Below are 17,882 nucleotides of genomic sequence, written 5' to 3' on the forward strand. Positions count from 1 at the left end.
TGTGGGGGTGTTAGATGGGGTGGTGGCCAGTCTTTGCTCATAGGGGACCCCCTCCTCCTCTCCAGTCCTGTCCCCACCTGTTCTCAGAGCTGGCTCAAACGGCAGCTCCTCCAGGAATGTGTCCTTGGTTTCAACCTGGTACTCCCACCTGCAGGTCTTCCTGGAGTGTCTCCTCTTTCTCTCTGTCTCCCCATAAATCTAAGACGAGGGGGATGGATCTGCCCACTGCTACTCACCATATGACTCTTGTGAGGTTGATCAGTCTCCCCTGGAAGGCCAACAGCTGAAGTCCATCAGAAAGGGTCCTCTGGCCCAGAGCCAGCCCCTGCCCACCCCTGTCTTGCTGCACCCAGGGTGCAAGACCCAGATCAGGTCTGGGTGACAGGAGGGGTATAGAGGGGCTGAGGCTCAGGGGCCTTCTAGCCTAACTTGTCTGGAGACAGTTGGGGAAACTGAGACCCCAAGCAGGGAGGTATGGCTCCGAGAGATTATTCTCATTAATCTGGAACATTTTTGCAAGCTGTTAGGTATAGGAAGTCTGTCACAGGTAAGAGAAATGCTTTTTAAGAGCATGAGAGACAGCAGGGTTGTCACAATATTGAAACACCACCGTGCAGATTCACCAATTGCCACCACCGGGAGCCCCCTGAGAGTCATTGCAGATGCACAGCCCTCCCCTGCAACCCCTGGGCCTCCCCGTGGTCTGGCACCTAAAGGGTTATGCCTCATGGCGGGAATCAGGGCCCTCAGGGTGCCCTGCCCACTCCAAGGTCTGCCTCTGCTCTGATTGGTCACTGACATTCAGATTGTCACCCAAATATAAGGACGTTAGCAGAAAGACTCATTCAATACAAGTGGACTCAGACATAGATAGGAATTGGGTTGCAAAAAGCCCCTTTTGTTTATTTTATTTTGGAAAAAACTTTTATTGTGAAAATTCACATATATATATATATATATAAAAACTCAATCAATGCAAAAGGATAGACAATGAACAAATGAATTCCCCTTCCACTCCAGATCCCCAACTCAGATCCAGACCTCCTGAGCCCACTTCCCCCATCTCATCACAGATCCAGACCTCCTGAGCCCACTTTCCCCATCTCATCACAGATCCAGACCTCCCCCACTTTCCCCATCTCATCACAGATCCAGACCTCCTGAGCCCACTTCCCCATCTCATCACCAGTGATTTCTTGGGCTCTGCATTAGTTTTCTATTGCTGCTGCAACAAACAGCTACAGACTCAGTGGCTTCCATTTCTGTCTTATAGTTCTGGTTGCCAAAAGTCCTAAGAGGATCTCACTGGGCTAAAGTCAAGGTGCTGGCGGGGCTATGTCCCTTCTGGAGGCTCAAGGGATGAATCGGGTCCCTGCCTTTTCTAGCTTCTAGGGGCTCCAGCTTCTAGGTTTGTGGCCTCCTTCCTCCATCCTCAAAGCCAGCAACAGCAGGTGAAGTCCTCGCCCATCATGCATCACTCTCCCTTCTTCCTCCTTCAACTTTTTTTTTTTATATTTAGGGGGAACGAGTACCGGATTCTTACATAGTCAAAAAGCTCCTTATAGAGAAGCTTGGAACTTTCAATACAACTTTGCCTTTTTTGCCATTTTAATTTTCCATTTAATTTAAATGTATTCTCTCATTTGACCTTCATACTCTGTGGAGAAATATTCCTATTTCGGCTTGTATTGACAAGCTGTTTTCACACAGCCCCCACATCACCCAACCAACCAGCAAGAAACAGATAAAGAAACTGAGGCCCAGGGAGGCTGAGTCCTGCCAGGATCATTCACCTTTCAAGGTAGGGAGCCAGTTCCAGACCTGGGTTTGTGCAGCTCCAAGCTCCCCCGTCTTTCTACAATGCTAGATTTAGACTATAGCAATCTAGCAAGTGTGGCCACACAATGGTCAAGTTGGATTTAGATGATGTTCCCTATAAATCCATTCTCCTCTCCCGTGTAAGCAAGGCAAAGTACTCCAGGTCATGGGGAGTCCCTGAAGACTCGATGAACTGCAGTGGCCACATCAGGAGGTTGCAGGTTGACCAGAACTCACTGACACAGCAGGAGAGCAGCTTGGAACCTGCAACCTAGCCAAAACCTAGTGCCTTGGATTGGGGGAGAAAACAGGCAGCCATTCCTCTCTCTCTGCTGGCTAGAGGGGATTCTGGCTTTTCCTGCCAGAGCCACCCCTTTCCCTCCTCCTAAAGTTGATGGTGGTTCTTTAAGGAAAGGGAGAAGTGCACGGTGTGATAGGGCAGGAAGAGAAGAAAATGGAGGAGAGGAGGGGACTTTCCCATAAGCAGGCAGAAGAAAAGGCAGCTGTGGTGTGTGATGGACATGGATGCAGTGGTGTCCAATGTGGGGTCAGCCCTAGATGAGAGACAGAGAGAGAGAGACAGAAAAGTGAGAGTCCTGACCCTTACGATTAACATGGGATCTGCCTGCAAATGCTGTTTAGGGCCATCGCCTCTTCCTGTACTGCTATTTTTGAGAGTGATGCTCCTGAGCCCCATGACCCAGTCAAATTTGATGTCCCCTCGAGCCAGATTCAGTGCTGGGAGTCCAGTGTGATCTGCCTGGATCTTGCTGCATTGAGAACAGGCCAGATCTTGACCCCAATACAGGGGCTGGATATGAACAGGCAACAGCTGGGTTTCTGAGTCAGAAAGACTTGGTTAATTGCTAATTGCTTAGGTGAGTAATTTAATTTTGTTGAGTCAGATTCTTCAGCTACAAAATGCAGATGACAGTACTTATTCCTCCAGGTTGTGGGGAAAATGGAGATTCTAAGCACGATGTCCATTTCACAGAAAGGTACCAATTTGGTGGCTTATTTTCCTTTCTACCTTCAGAAGTGGCTATCCCTGCCACCCAAACAGACCCTTGACTCTCAAGTGGACGGGGTCCCATTTGCACAGGGGGAGACCTTACAGCCTACGTTGAGTCTATACTTACCACTTAGTGAGCATTGTGTCCGCTCAGGGGCCTCTGTGGGCATCCGTCTCCTCTGCAGCATCTTTCCTCCCCACTGCTGGGTCTGCACATGACCTCCTCCTTGGGTTAGGCCTCTGATCAGTGATGACCTTGGTATGGTGGTGATGGTCAGTCTTGGCATCAAATGAGCCAGTTTATATCATCAGCTATTCAATAAAATACCAATCTAGGTGTCACCGTGAAAGTATTTTGTGACATTGTTATGTACGTGTTGTTACAAATGTGCATGATGCATTTACTACAGCATAGAATTTTGCCTGGGTGCCAGCCTGAAGTCTGTCCGACAGATCATAGCCATGTTAGTCCCACAGTCACAGGGGCCAATTGATTAAATTATTTTATCTCCCTTGAAAACTAAAAATAAAATCCTAAGCCCCCCACCCGACTTAACAGACCCCCTGTTGGCCAACGGAACCTCAAATAAATCTTAAAATTCAGTTCTTGGCCATGACAGGACAGGAGGTCAGACATACCTCCCTGTACCTCCCTCCCTCTTATGGTTTAGACCCCACAACTGAACAGCATTAATGTTAAAATAGAGATCATGAGACTGACAGAACAGACTCTTTGTGGCAATAAGACCTCAAATTATAAACAGGACCTAGGGCCATGCCAGGCGAGCGTTAAGTCTTGTAGCCTACTCTTAAAGAATTAACTAGATTCTAACTACCACGTGGGTTTTATTTTTCTCTAGCAACCAAGCAAGCACTGGCTGTGAGAGAAGCAAGATTAAAACAATTACAACTCACCCAGTTCACAGACGCTGAGTAACTGATCTCCTGCCCCACTAACCTTAATGACAGCTTTCTCTGGACAAGGGACTGATTTCAGTAACTTTCTCCTGATAAGAGACCATCCTCCATGGACTGGTTCTGGCCAGTTTTGGAGGCTGTGCCTGTACAGAGGCTGAGTACCTTCATGTCCCTGCTTCACTTTTTGATGTGTAGGGCCTAATTATAATACATTTAAATGTCAAGTCTCCACCCCAGAATGAACATGCATGTTTATTGAATATGCATTCATTAGGACCTCTTTTATGAGTATTCTCATAAAATGATATAGCTCCTCTGATATCCTATTGAGTATGTATATGTAGCCAACTCATTTGGCTCAAATTCCTGTCCTCTCCTTCCCTCCCTGGAAATGCCTGCCTCTGGCCTTGGCTGTAGGCCACACTTCCCAGGCTGTCATAATGGCCACCTTGCAGACTGCAAACCTATATAAGAAATAAAGCTCTCTTTTCTAAATTTATAAAATTGTGTGATTTTTTAGTTGATGCTCTCTTTCTACACACACACACACACACACACACACACACACACGCAATTTATACAGAAGGAAATCTGGAGAATATATGTGGGAATGGATATTAAGTGTGTGGCACCATGGTGGAAGTAACATAAAGTTGGATTAGGCTAAATTTATTAATGTTGGCCCACTAAACAGAGATTCTGGACTCAGGGTTGTAGGTCAAAGCTTTAGAAAGGGCTCCAAGGGTTGGTTTGATCGGTTACTTGGTTGGTTGTTTGCTTGGTTGGTTGGTGCTTGCTTCCTTGCTTGGTTGTTTGGTTGGTTTGTTGCTTGCTTGCTTGTTGGTTGATTGGTTGGCTGTTTGCTTGTTTGGTGACTTGGTTGGTTGGCTGAAACAGAATCAGAGTTTACCTAAGGTACATAAAGTTGAGATGCCACAACTTCCTTGGTTTATGTGTACAGAAAGGTATGCAAAAACTCAGGGAGACTGGATTTATTATGTCAGACCTGCTCACTCACACTGGAGGGTCTACGGAACATACTCCTCACAACGATCATGAGAAAGAATATTGTGAGAGGAGCCCAGTATCCTGGAAGAGCTTTGAGCTTGTGCTCTCAGTAGGCAAAATGTTACAGCAGGAACTGCAGCCACTGGACTGGGATCTTTAAGTAAAATGAGGATAATTGAATCCTGGGGTGGCAGGGAACATGGGCTGTCCTTAATCACCAAAGATGAGGTGGGTGTGGTCACCACAGTGGAAAGCAGTGTCAAAGCAGCAGTCAGAATGGTTTGACTCACAGACACCCACGGCATTGTGTAGTCCATGGTATCCACAGGGAGAGCTAATGGGCTGTACCAAAGTCTTAGTTGTTCTTTAAAAAATGAAGAATTCTAGGTCAACTGAATAAAAGACTAACTCAAATTAATGAAACACAGATCTAAAACCCTCAATCAATTCCCAGACTTGAGCCAGTTCACAGGCCCACAACCCCTTAAGTGAAGGGGAGGCTGGGTGATCTTGGGGAAGTACGCTGCTACGTTGCCAAAAATTTACATTGTTAATCTTTTTCCCAGTCTTCCCCAAAGGGACTTACAGCCTTCTGCCAGGATGACTGTGACTTAAAGAAAAGAAAATTCTCAGATATTTGGGGAATTACTGGACACTGGCTCTCATTTGACACTATTATCACTATGTTGCCTAGGATGGATTCATGCTCCTGGGTTCAAGCAGTCCTCCTACCTCAGCCTCCCAAAGTGCTGGGATTACAGACATGAGCCACTGTGGCCAGCAGAGCTTTGAAACTAGAACATGGAGGTCCAGTGGTAAAGATCTGACAAGTCTGGGAAGAGATTGGGCCAAGGCAATGTTGATGATTCTTTTTTTTTTTTTTTTTTTTTTTTTACAACAGAGTCTTGTTCTGTTGTCTAGGCTGGAGTGCGATGGCGCGATCTCGGCTCACTGCAACCTCTGCCTCCGGGGTCCAAGCAATTCTCCTGCCTCAGCCTCCTGAGTAGCTGGGATTACAGGTGCCCACCACCACACCAGGCTAATTTTTTATTTTTTTGTGTTTTTTGAGACAGAGTCTCACTCTATATCGCCCAGGCTGGAGTGCAGTGGCGCAATCTGGGCTCACTGCAAACCCCGCCTCTCAGGTTCATGCCATTCTTCTGCCTCAGCCTCACGAGTAGCTGGGACTACAGGTGCCTGCCACCGTGCCTGGCTAATTTTTTGTATTTTTAGTAGAGACGGGGTTTCATTTCACCATGTTAGCCAGGATGGTCTTGATCTCCTGACCTCATGATCTGCCCGCCTCGGCCTCCCAAAGTGCTGGGATTACAGGGATGAGCCACCATGCCCAGCCACACCAAGCTAATTTTTGTATTTCTTTTTTTAGTTGAGACAGGGTTTCACCATGTTGGCCAGGCTGGTCCCTGACCTTGTGATCCACCCGCCTCGGCTTCCCAAAGTGCTGAGATGACAGGCATGAGCCACCCCGCCTGGCCAATGTTGATGATTCTAAACAGCAGCCGTTAATGTGAAAACCATCCAACTGGAAGCCCTGGCCTTGCCCAGAGGACACAGTCTGGGTGGTGGGCAGAGACTTCAGCTGCCTTCCAAGGCAAGCAGCTCCTTGCTGCCCGCTTGCTGGGGATTTTACTTACAGGGCAGAAGCTGGCAGGTGATTTGGGGGCAGGAATTGCTTCCTGGATGGTATAGGATGAACCACACTCCCCAGGAAGGCACTCATCCTGGTGGCCTAACAGAAGCAGCCCTCACCCCAAAAGGCAATGCTGCTCCACTAGTTTTATGGGGTGACTCCTTCCTGTAGGTTCCTTCCAGCTTTACCAGAAACACAGAACATCTTTCCTGACAGGGCATTGGTTTTGTTTTTGAACAGAGAGATCCTTCTTTTAAAAAGTTAGTTTTTTGTTTTCTTTTGTTTTGTTTTTTGTAATGGAATCAACCTAGGTCCTAAGCCTAGCAGGTTGTTATTATTATTTTTATGATTATTTTTTGAGATGGAGTCCCACTCTGTGGTCCAGGCTGGAGGGCAGTGGCACGATCTCAGCTCACTGCAATGTCTGCCTCCTGGGTTCAAGAGATTCTCCTGCCTCAACCTACAGAGGAGCCAGGATTACAGGCATGCACCACCATGCCCGGCTAATTTTTGTACTTTTAGTAGAGATAGGGTTTTGCCATGTTGGCCAGGCTGATCTCAAACTCCTGACCTCAGGCGATCCACCCACCTCAGCCTCCCAAACTGCTGAGAATACAGGTGTGAGCTGCCATACCCAGCCACAGGTTATTTTTGCTGATCTTCTCCCTCCTCCCACCCTCAAAGAAAACGCGGTACATCTACACCATGGACTACTACGCAACCCTGAAAAGGAACAAAATCACGGTTGTTTTTTTTTTTTTTTTTCTTTTTCTTTTTTTTTTTTTTTTTTGCAGCAACATGGATGTAGCTGGAGGCCATTATCTTTTTTAATTATTTTTATTATTTTTTTTCTATTCTACTTTAAGTTCTGGGGTATATGTGCAGAATGTGCAGGATTGTTACATAGATATACATGTGCCATAGCGGTTTGCTGCACCCATCAACCCATCATCTACATTAGATATTTCTCATAATGCTGTCCCTTTCCCAGTCCCCCACCCCTGCAGTAGGCCCCAGTGTGTGATGTTCCCCTCTCTGGGTTGATGTGTTCTCATTGTTCACTTCCCACTTATGAGTGAGAACATGCACTGTTTGGTTTTCTGCTCCTGTGTCACTTTGCTGAACATGAGGGTTTCCAGCTTCATCCATGTCCCTGCAAAGGACATGAACTCATCTTTTTCATGGCTGCATAGTATTCCACAGTGTCTATGTGCTACATTTTCTTTATCCAGTCTATCACTGATGAGCATTTGGGTTGGTTCCACATCTTTGCTATTGTGAACAGTGTGGAGGCCATTATCTTAAGTAAATTAATAGAATGCTGCGTGTTCTCACTTATAAGTGGGAGCTAAATGTTGTGTATATGTAGACACAGAGAAGGGAACAGATATTGGGGTCTAGTTAGGGGGAGAGAGGAAGGTAGAAGGACAAGAGTTGAAAAAACCAACTGTGGGGTATTATGCTCACTACCTGGGTGATGGGATCACTCATACCCCAGACCTCAGCATCACACATCGTACCCATGTAAGAAACCTGTACATGTACCTCCTGAATCCAAACTGCTCCACCATTTGCACCAGCAATTCCAAGACTGGGCATCTACCCAAAGGAAAAGAAGTCATTCTACCAAAAAGACACATGCATGGTAAAGTTCCTTTTTTTTGTTTGTTTTTTGAGATGGAGTCTCACTCTATTTCCCATGCTGGAGTGCAGTAGCAATCTCGGCTCACTGCAACCTCTGCCTCCAGGGTTCAAGTGATTCTCCTGCCTCAGCCTCTTGAGCAGCTGGGATTACAGGCATGCGCCACCATGCCTGGCTAATTTTTGTATTTTTAGTAGAGACAGGGTTTCACCATATTGACCAGGCTGGTCTCGAACTCCTGACCTCAGGTGATCTGCCCACCTTGGCCCTCCAGAGTGCTGGGATTACAGTGCCTGGCCCTGTAAGGTTCATCACAGCACGACTTACAATAGGAAAGTCATGGAATCAACCTAGTTGCCCATCAGTGGGGTACCGGATAAAGCAAAAGTGGTTCTTCTACAGCATCGAATACTACACAGCCATGAAAAAGAATAAAATCATGTCCTTTGCGGCCACATGGATGTAGCTGGAGGACATTATGCTTAATGAATTAACACAAGAACAGAAAATCAAATACCACATGTTCTTGTCTGGATAAAGCAATTGTGGCCCTTCTACACCATGGAATACTACACAGCCACGAAAAAGAATAATGTCATGTCCTTTGCAGCCACATGGACACAGCTGAAGGACATTATGCTTAGTGAATTAATGCCAGGAACAGAAAATGAAATACTACATGTTCTCAACTGGATAAAGCAAATGTGGCCCTTCTACACCACGGAATACTACACAGTGATGAAAAAAATAAAATCATGTCTTTGCAGCCACATGGATGCAGCCAGAGGGCATTATGCTTAGTGAATCAATATGAGGAACAGAAAATCAAATACCACATGTTCTGCACTAGATAAAGCAAATGTGGTCCTTCTGCATCATGGAATACTACACAGCCATGAACAAGAATAAAATCATGCCCTTTGCAGCAACGTGGATGAAGCTGAAGGGCATTATGCTTAGTGAATTAATGCCAGAAACAGAAAATCAAATACCACATGTTCTCAATTAGATAAAGTAAATGTGGTCCTTCCGCATCATGGAATACTACACAGCCATGAACAAGAATAAAATCATGCCCTTTGCAGTCACATGGATGAAGCTGAAGGGCACTATGCTTAGTGAATTAACGCCAGGAACAGAAAATAAAATACCACATGTTTTTGCTTATAGGTGGGAGCTAAACATTGCCTGCACCTGGACACAATGAAGGGGCACCACAGACCCTCAGGACTAATAGAGTAGGAAGCAGGGGCGGGGGTACAAGGGTTGAAAAACTACCCTGAGATTCTTTGAATTTCAGGCAGAAGGCAGCAACTGGAGAGATCTTTGGGTCACGGATTTTTCTGTTGCATTTTCTTGCTTGTTTGTTTTCTATCTCTCTCTCTCTCTTTTTTTTTTCTTTTTTTTTGAGATGGAGTCTCACTCTGTGACCCAGGCTGGAGTGCAGTGGTGCAATCTCGGCTCCCTGCAACTTCTGCCTCCTGGATTCAAGCAATTCTTCTACCTCAGCCTCCCAAGTAGCTGGGACTACAGGCACCTGCCACCACACCTGGCTAATTTTTGTATTTTTAGCAGAGACGGGGTTTCACCATGTTGGCCAGGCTGGTCTCGAACTCCTGACCTCAGGTGATCTGCCTGCCTTGGCCTCCCAAAGTGCTGGGATTACAGGCATGAGCCACTGCACCTGGCCCTCTTCTTATATATTTCTAGAACTCCTCTCGAATTTGGGGTTTGTTTTTCTTAATTACAAGGAATCAAGTTGAATCATTAGTGCATATATAAATATACATTTTATTTTTAGTACACATTATATACCTCAGGAATGTACAATGCTCAGCGCCTGGGTGACGGGATTATTCATACCCCAAACCTCAGCATCGTACAATATCCCCAGGACACAAAGCTGCCCGTGGATCCCCTGAATCTATAATAATAATAATTAATAATAATAATAATAATAAATAAAAAGTGACTTTGTCATTCGCAGGGAAATGTGAATGACATTCACTCTGCCTCTCAGGTCCTTGGATTCCCAAAGTTTGTTTTCCTCACGCCCAGGGGACACTCAGAATGTCGTTTGCAGAACACGGGTTGTTTTTCTTAGAAACGCCTTGCAAAACAAAATAGGAAGCAAAATCTTTCTCACTCCTTCCACTCCATAATAGACAAAATAAAATGAGGGGGCAGGAATCCAGAGACTTTGACCACAGTTGGCAGATTTATTGTGGTACAGACATGAAGGCAAGCAGTGTTCTCTCTGATTCTACGAACTGTACAGCCCGGGCCAGGTGCCTTCTGCTTTCTGGATGGTGCAGGCGTGAGCTCCAAGCCCAAATTTCACTGGAGCTCCAAGAATCGAGCCTGGCCCAGGCACTCACTGCACGGGGGCCAAGCGTGAAACCAGTGATCGCTCCAGCAAGGTAACAGGACAGCTTGGTGATCCTTCTTGCCGGCCACAAAAGGTTATAGCCAGAATTCCACCGAATGTGGTCTTTCTGTGTCTCTCCCCAGATAGTGAAGCTGCACAAACCTGGGGGTGGGGGGTGGGGGGTGCTGACCTCAGTGGGGTGTCCTGGAGAGGCAGGAACCAGGGTTTACAGGGTGCAGATCCTACTGAAGCAAATGGACGTGGCATCCGTGGGCAGAGCTGGCTGTGGCTGGCCTTCCAGCCTGGATGTCTCCCCCCCCCCGCCTGGGGTGTCACCAGATGCACCCAGAGACCCCTTCTAAACCTGGGGGGATGTGCTGACCTCAGTGGGGTTTCCTGGAGAGGCAGGAAGCTGGGTTTCCAGGGTACATATCCTACTGAAGCAAATGGATGTGGCATCCTTGGGCAGAGCTGGCTGTGGCTGGCCTTCCAGCCTGGACGTCTCCCCCACTGCCTGGGGTGTCACCAAATGCACCCAGAGACCTCTCTTCTGAAAGCCCATTCATGGGAAGCCTCCAGGTCTCCTCAGCAGGCAGCATCACGTCTGATTTCACTGCGTTATCAGGTAATGCAGGCCTGTTCTACCTGTGTGCGTGAGCGCGTGTGTGCCGTGTGGGAGTGTGTGTGTTGATGTGGGTGTGGGTGTGTGCTTGTGTGGCTGTGTGTGTGTGCCTGTTTATGTGATGATGAGTGTGTCTGTGAGTCTGTAAGACAACGTGTGTTTCCATGCGTGTTTCTGTGTGAGCGTGCATTCCTGTGTTTTATGGAAGTGTGTTTTTGTGATGGTGTTTTTGTGTGCCCCTGCGTTTATCGTATTTGTGTGTTTGTGAATATGAGTGTATGTGTGTGAATCTGTATGGCAATGTATAAATTTTTTTTTTTTTTTTTTTGAGACGGAGTCTCGCTCTGTCACCCATACTGGAGTGCAAAGGCACAATCTCAGCTCACAGCAACCTCCGCCTCCCGGGTTCAAACGATTCTTCTGCCTCAGCCTCCTGAGTACCTGGGATTACAGGCACCCACCGCCACATCTGGCTAATTTTTCTTTTTTGATACGGAGTCTCGTTCTGTCACCCAGGCTGGAGTGCAGTGGCGTGATCTTGGCTCACTGCAACCTCTGCCTCCCGGGTTCAAATGATTCTCCTGCCTCAGCCTCCTGAGTAGCTGGGATTACAGGCATAAGCCACCACATCTGGCTAATTTTTGTATTTTTGAGTAGAGATGGGGTTTCACCATGTTGGCCAGGCTGGTCTGGAACTCCCGACCTCAAGTTATCTGCCCGCCTCGGCCTCCCAAAGTTCTGGGAGTACAGGCGTGAGCCACCTTGCCCGGCCCCAGTGTGTGAACTTTTATGTTTGTGTGTCTACATGATTATGTGAGTCTTTTTGTGACTGTGTTTCCATGAGTGTGTGACTGTATTTGTGTGTTTGTGTGTGCTTGTGTGATTCTGAGTGTGTCTATGAGTGTGTATGACATATGTGAGTGTCTGTGTGGGTGAGTAGCCATCCACGTGTTTATATGAGAGTGTTTTCATGATTCTGTTTATGAGTGACTTTGTATGTATACGTGTTTGTGTGCTTTGTGAGAATGTCAATGTGCATGTGCACCCACGTGTGCAAAAAACCCACACATTTTTGTAATTGTGTTTGTGTGTGTGTCCCTGCATTTGTGTGAGTGTGCATGTCTTCGTGTGTCCATGTGTTTCTATGAGTGTGTTTTGTGATTCTGTCTGTCTTTGTGTTGATGTGTGTTTGTGTAAGTGTGTGGTTGCATTTGTGTCAGTGATTCTGGAGCAGGTGAGCTGATCACAAGTCTGAGCCGAGAATCCATGGAGCTCTTTTACAACAGAAGCCGGGACCCTGTGCAAATCCTTCTGAAATATCCCCGGTTTACAGAGCTCCTAGGGGTGGGGAAGAAAAATTCCCTGACTTTTCGGCCTCAGGGAAAGAGAGAGACACCCCGCTGGCCGTACACCTCTGCTGTTTCTCAGAAAACAGGTGGGGTATCACTCTTTCCCAAATGACGGTGATTTTAAGAACGGTTCACCTTTTGAAGAGACGTTTCTGCCCTGGCGATCCATACATATTGAACCCAAATGAATATTTTTTAATTAAAAATTTTTATATAAATATACATTGTGCATACTTTATATTAATATATTGATATAAATATATTTTATTAATATAAACATGATTTTTATAGTTCATATAAATAGTTATATATAGTGTATATGTAAAATATACTTTTATTTGTGATACATAATTTTATAGATTAAATTTTATATACTAAGCAAAGTTATATGTGATATATACATGCCATATAACATCATTTATATAATATATCTTTATGTAAATAAGTATATAATAAAATTGATCTTATATTTGTTAATACATAATTATGTATATATACTATGTAAAAATAAAATTATATATTGTATGTGCATAATATTTCTATAAATACACGCTTATGTGTGTATTTATACATGAATGCCTGTGTTTGTGTGAGTACTTCAGTGAGTGCGTGAATGTGTGTGTGTGCATGTGTGCCAGTGTTTGTGTGAGTGTAAGAGTGTTGTACATTTATACACACACATTTTGTCTTCTGGTTAATAACAAGATCTATCTTTGATTTAGGATATGAAGAATTCTTATAAGCAACCCCCCACACAAAATTTGTATTTATTTTAAAATATTCTTAAAATATGGGTTCTTTTATTTTTGCACAAACAGACAAGAGTGTTTTTTCTTTCCAAAACTTTTATTTCAAATTCTGACCCTGAGGAGCAGAAAAAGAAGAAAACATTGTGTAACCTTATATACATTAGAAACATAAGTAGTTACTAAATGCAATACAGATTTTGACAACATGCATTTAGGAAAAATGAGGAATTCAAACTCGTAGCTGCCTCAATATTGAACTTTCTAAAGTTTAATTTTTTTTAATTAAAAAATATTCATTTGGGTTCAATATGTATGGATCTCCAGGGCAGAAATGTCTCTCCAAAAAGTGAACCACTCTGAAAATCACCGTCATTTGGGAAAGGGTGATGCCCCAGCTGTCTTCTGAAAAATAGCAGAGGCTTCCGGCCAGTGGGGTGTCTCTCTCTTTCCCTGAGGCCGAAATGTCAGGGAATTTTTCTTCCCCACCCCTAGGAGCCCAGTAAATGGAGAATATTTCAGAAGGATTTGCACAGGGTCCCGGCTTCTGCTATTTATGAGCTCCATGGATTCTTGGCTCAGGCTTGTGATCAGCTCACCTGCTCCAGAATCACTTCCCATCTTAGCTTCTGGGCTAAGACACCTCAAAACCAGCAAAGGAAAGTCCTCACTGGTCAACGCGTCCATCCCAACTCCCCCATCTCCCCTTAGGGTGGGTTTGGGGTTCGGGACTGCTTTACTGTTCCTTTCAAAGCAGACTGGGAGGTAAGATTTTATTCTGCTTCCAGAGGTTCAGGATTTCTGCAGACGGTCAGCAACTCTTTGCATCCTACTGGTAAAAGTTTTATATACTTTGTATTTATAGAAATACGCATTGTGTATATTTTATATGAATAGATTGATATAAATTATTTTAGTAACTTAACCATATGACTTTTATATTTTTATATAAATAAAGTTATATGTAGTGTATATGTAAAATACTTTTATTTCTAATACATAATTTTATAGATTAAATTTAATATATTAAGCAAATACTTTTATTTCTAATACATAATTTTATAGATTAAATTTAATATATTAAGCAAAAATATATGTAACATATATAACATATAACATCATTTCTATAATATATAACTTAATGTAAATAAGTATATAAAATTGATATTATATTTGTTAATACATAATTATACATATATACTGTGTAAAAATAAAATTACATATTGTATATGCATAATTATATTTCTAAGTACAATTATATACTATGTATAATTATGTATAAAATAATTGTATAATAAAAATATAATAAATTTTGAAACGTTATAAATTATACATAGTATTTTATTGTATTAAATTTAGAAATGTGTTATATGTAATAAAATTTTATTATAATAAATGTAGATTATATAAAATCTTATTTATAATAAATTACCTTATGTATAATTATGAGAAAATAATTACATATCATTGTATTATAATAAATTTAGAGATGTTATACATTATTATATATAAAATTTCATTATATTAAATTTAGAAATATATGTAATAAAATGGTATTATGTTAAAATTTTTATGTAACATTTTATTATACATGTATAATTTTATATAATGTTTTATAATATATAGAATATAAGTACACAGAATATAAGTACAAAAATATTTATATACAGCTACACGTAATATAAATACATCAGTGTAAGATGTTTTGTGTGTGTGAGATGGAGTCTCGCTCTGTTGCCCAGGCTGGAGTGCAGCAACACGATCTCGGCTCACTGCAACCTCTGCCTCCTGGGTTCAAGCGATTCTCCTGCCTCAGCCTCCCGAGTAGCTGGGATTACAGGCATGCACCACCACACCCAATCAATTTTTGTATTTTTAGTAGAGATGGGGTTTCACTGTGTTAGCCAGGATGGTCTCAAACTCCTGACCTCAGGTGATCCACCCGCCTCGGCCTCCCAAAGTGCTGGGATTACAGGCATGAGCCACAGTGTAAGATACTAGCTATTAAAAAATAAATATATATATATACTGCAACAGCTGATTTGTCTGGAAGAGTTTGGTCAGAAGACAGTGTATTAAGAAGACTGTGAGTCCCCAGAGGAATATAAGAATATACATCATGTTGATATATTATATATAACATAAATAGCTAACTACATCTGTGTATATAGTATAAACAAAAGTACAAAAATATTTGTATATAACTATATGTAATATAAATATATCAGTGTAAGATATTAGCTATTAAAATATATATATATATAGAGAGAGAGAGAGAGAGAGAGCAACCGGTGATTTGTCTGGAATATTCTAGTCAGAAGACAGTGTATTAAGAAGACAGTGAGTCCCCAGGAGAATACAAGAATGTGCATCATGTTAATATATTATATATAACATAAATACCTAACAACATCTGTATATATAGTATAAACATAAAGTACAAAAATATTAGTATATTACTATATGTAATATAAATATATCAGTGTAAGATATTAGCTATTAAAATATACATATGTGTGTATGTATGTGTATATGTGTATATAAATATTATATATATATATAGTAACTGCTGATTTGTGTGGAAGACTTTGGTCAGAAGACAGTGTATTAAGAAGACAGTGGGTCCTCACAGGAAAATAAGAATATACATCATGTTTATATTATATATAACATAAACAACTAATTACATCTGTATATACAGCATAAACATAAAGTACAAAAATATTTGTATATAATCGTATGTAATATAAATATACCAGTGTAAGATATTAGCTATTAAAATATACATGTGTGTATGTATGTGTATATGTGTACATATAATATATATACATATATAACATATATAATATATAAGATATAACATAATATAATATATTATATATAATATGTAATATGTAACATATATTATATAATTAATATATAATATATAATATATTCTATGCTATATAATATATAATATATTCTATGCTATATAATATATAATATATTCTATGCAATAAATTATATAGCATATATATATATATAGCAACAGCTGATTTGTCTGGAAGAATTTGGTCAGAAGACAGTGTATTAAGAAGACAGTGAGTCCCCAGAGAAATATAAGAATATACATCATGTTTATATTATATATAACATAAATAGCTAACTACATCTGTATATATAGCATAAACATAAAGCACAAAATTATTTATATATAATATAAATATATCAGTGTAAGATATTAGCTATTAAAAAATATATATATATAGCAACCGGTGATTTGTCTGGAAGACTGGTCAGAAGACAGTGTATTAGGAAGACAGGCAGTCTCCGCAGGAAGCATGGTGCAGGTGGGATCTGGAGGTGACTCTGGGCTGCCAGAAGACGCCCCACTGCTTTGCGGCAGACACAGGTGGAGAGGTCCTCTCTGTAGCTTCAGCATGGACAGTGTGTGTGTCTTGCTGTGGGAACACTTCTTTCTGCTTCCCTCTCCACTGTGACCCCATCACACTCACTGACCTGCCCTCCTCCTTCCTCTCGCTCTCCGGGGCCCCTGTGGAAAGAGGGTCTTCCCTCCGTGCAGCAGGAACCCCCAGGACCATCCCCATGCTCCTGGGTTCTGAACTTCAGGGACATATGATCCTACCTGACCGGGCACAGGCTCTGTTCACCCTCAGGAACCCCTGTCCTCCCAGGCCACCGTGGACTGGAGAACTGGCCTCCTGAAAATCCAGAGAGAACTTAGCACTCACAACTTCTTTCTTTTTTTCTTTTTTCTTTGAGACTGGATCTTGCTCTTTTCCCCAGGCTGGAGTGCAATGGCATGATCTCAGCTCACTGCAACCTCCTCCTCCCAGGTTCAAGCAGTTCATCCCGCCTCTGTCTCCCGAGTATCTGGGATCACAGTCATCCACCCCCGCGGCCAACTAATTTCTGTATTTTTAGTAGAGACGGGGTTTCACCATGTTGGCCAGGCTGGTCTCGAACTCTTGACCTCAAGTGATCCACCCGCCTCGGCCTCCCAAAGTACTGGGATGACATATATTAGCATGATGTATATTCTTCTATTCCTCCGGGGACTCACTGTCTTCTTGGGCAGTAAACCACTGTGCCCGGACTTCTCTGTCCACATCTGCACACATCTAAACCTCTGTAGATTCTGAATTGTTTTTCCTTTTGCACAGAATGAGAGGAACTGAAGTCGGGAGGCCCAGCCCCAACACGGTCCCTGTGGCTCTGTGCTCAGGTGGTTTATGGCTGAGAAGGACTTGGGGGGTTGAGGGCTTCCTATCAGCCCAGGAGACATTACCTGGGTCTGGGAAGCCTGCTCTGCACTTGTGGGTCTCGAATTGTCTGTTGCATTTACCTGCCTCATTATTTTTTCTTCCTGTCTCTCTTCTTACATATTTCTTTCGAATTTGGAGCTTGTTTTTCTTAACTACAATCAACTTGAATCATTACTGCATATATAAATATAAATTTTATATTGAGTAGACATTATATACTCAATCTACTACACATTCGAACACGGGCCATATCTAAGATGAATATTTATATTTAATGTTTAAAACATGTTTACATTTCATATAGAAAAATATATTTATATTTAATATATATGTGTATATTTAATACAGGAAATATATATTTATATTTAACATATAAAAATATATGTTTATATTTAATATGGGAAATATATGTCTTTGTTTAATATACATAATACATGTTGATATTTAATATAGAAAATGTATAGTTATATTTACTATGCAAAA

The sequence above is a fragment of the Homo sapiens genome, chromosome 2, assembly GCF_000001405.40.
Source record: "Homo sapiens chromosome 2, GRCh38.p14 Primary Assembly".
Lineage (NCBI taxonomy): Eukaryota > Metazoa > Chordata > Mammalia > Primates > Hominidae > Homo > Homo sapiens.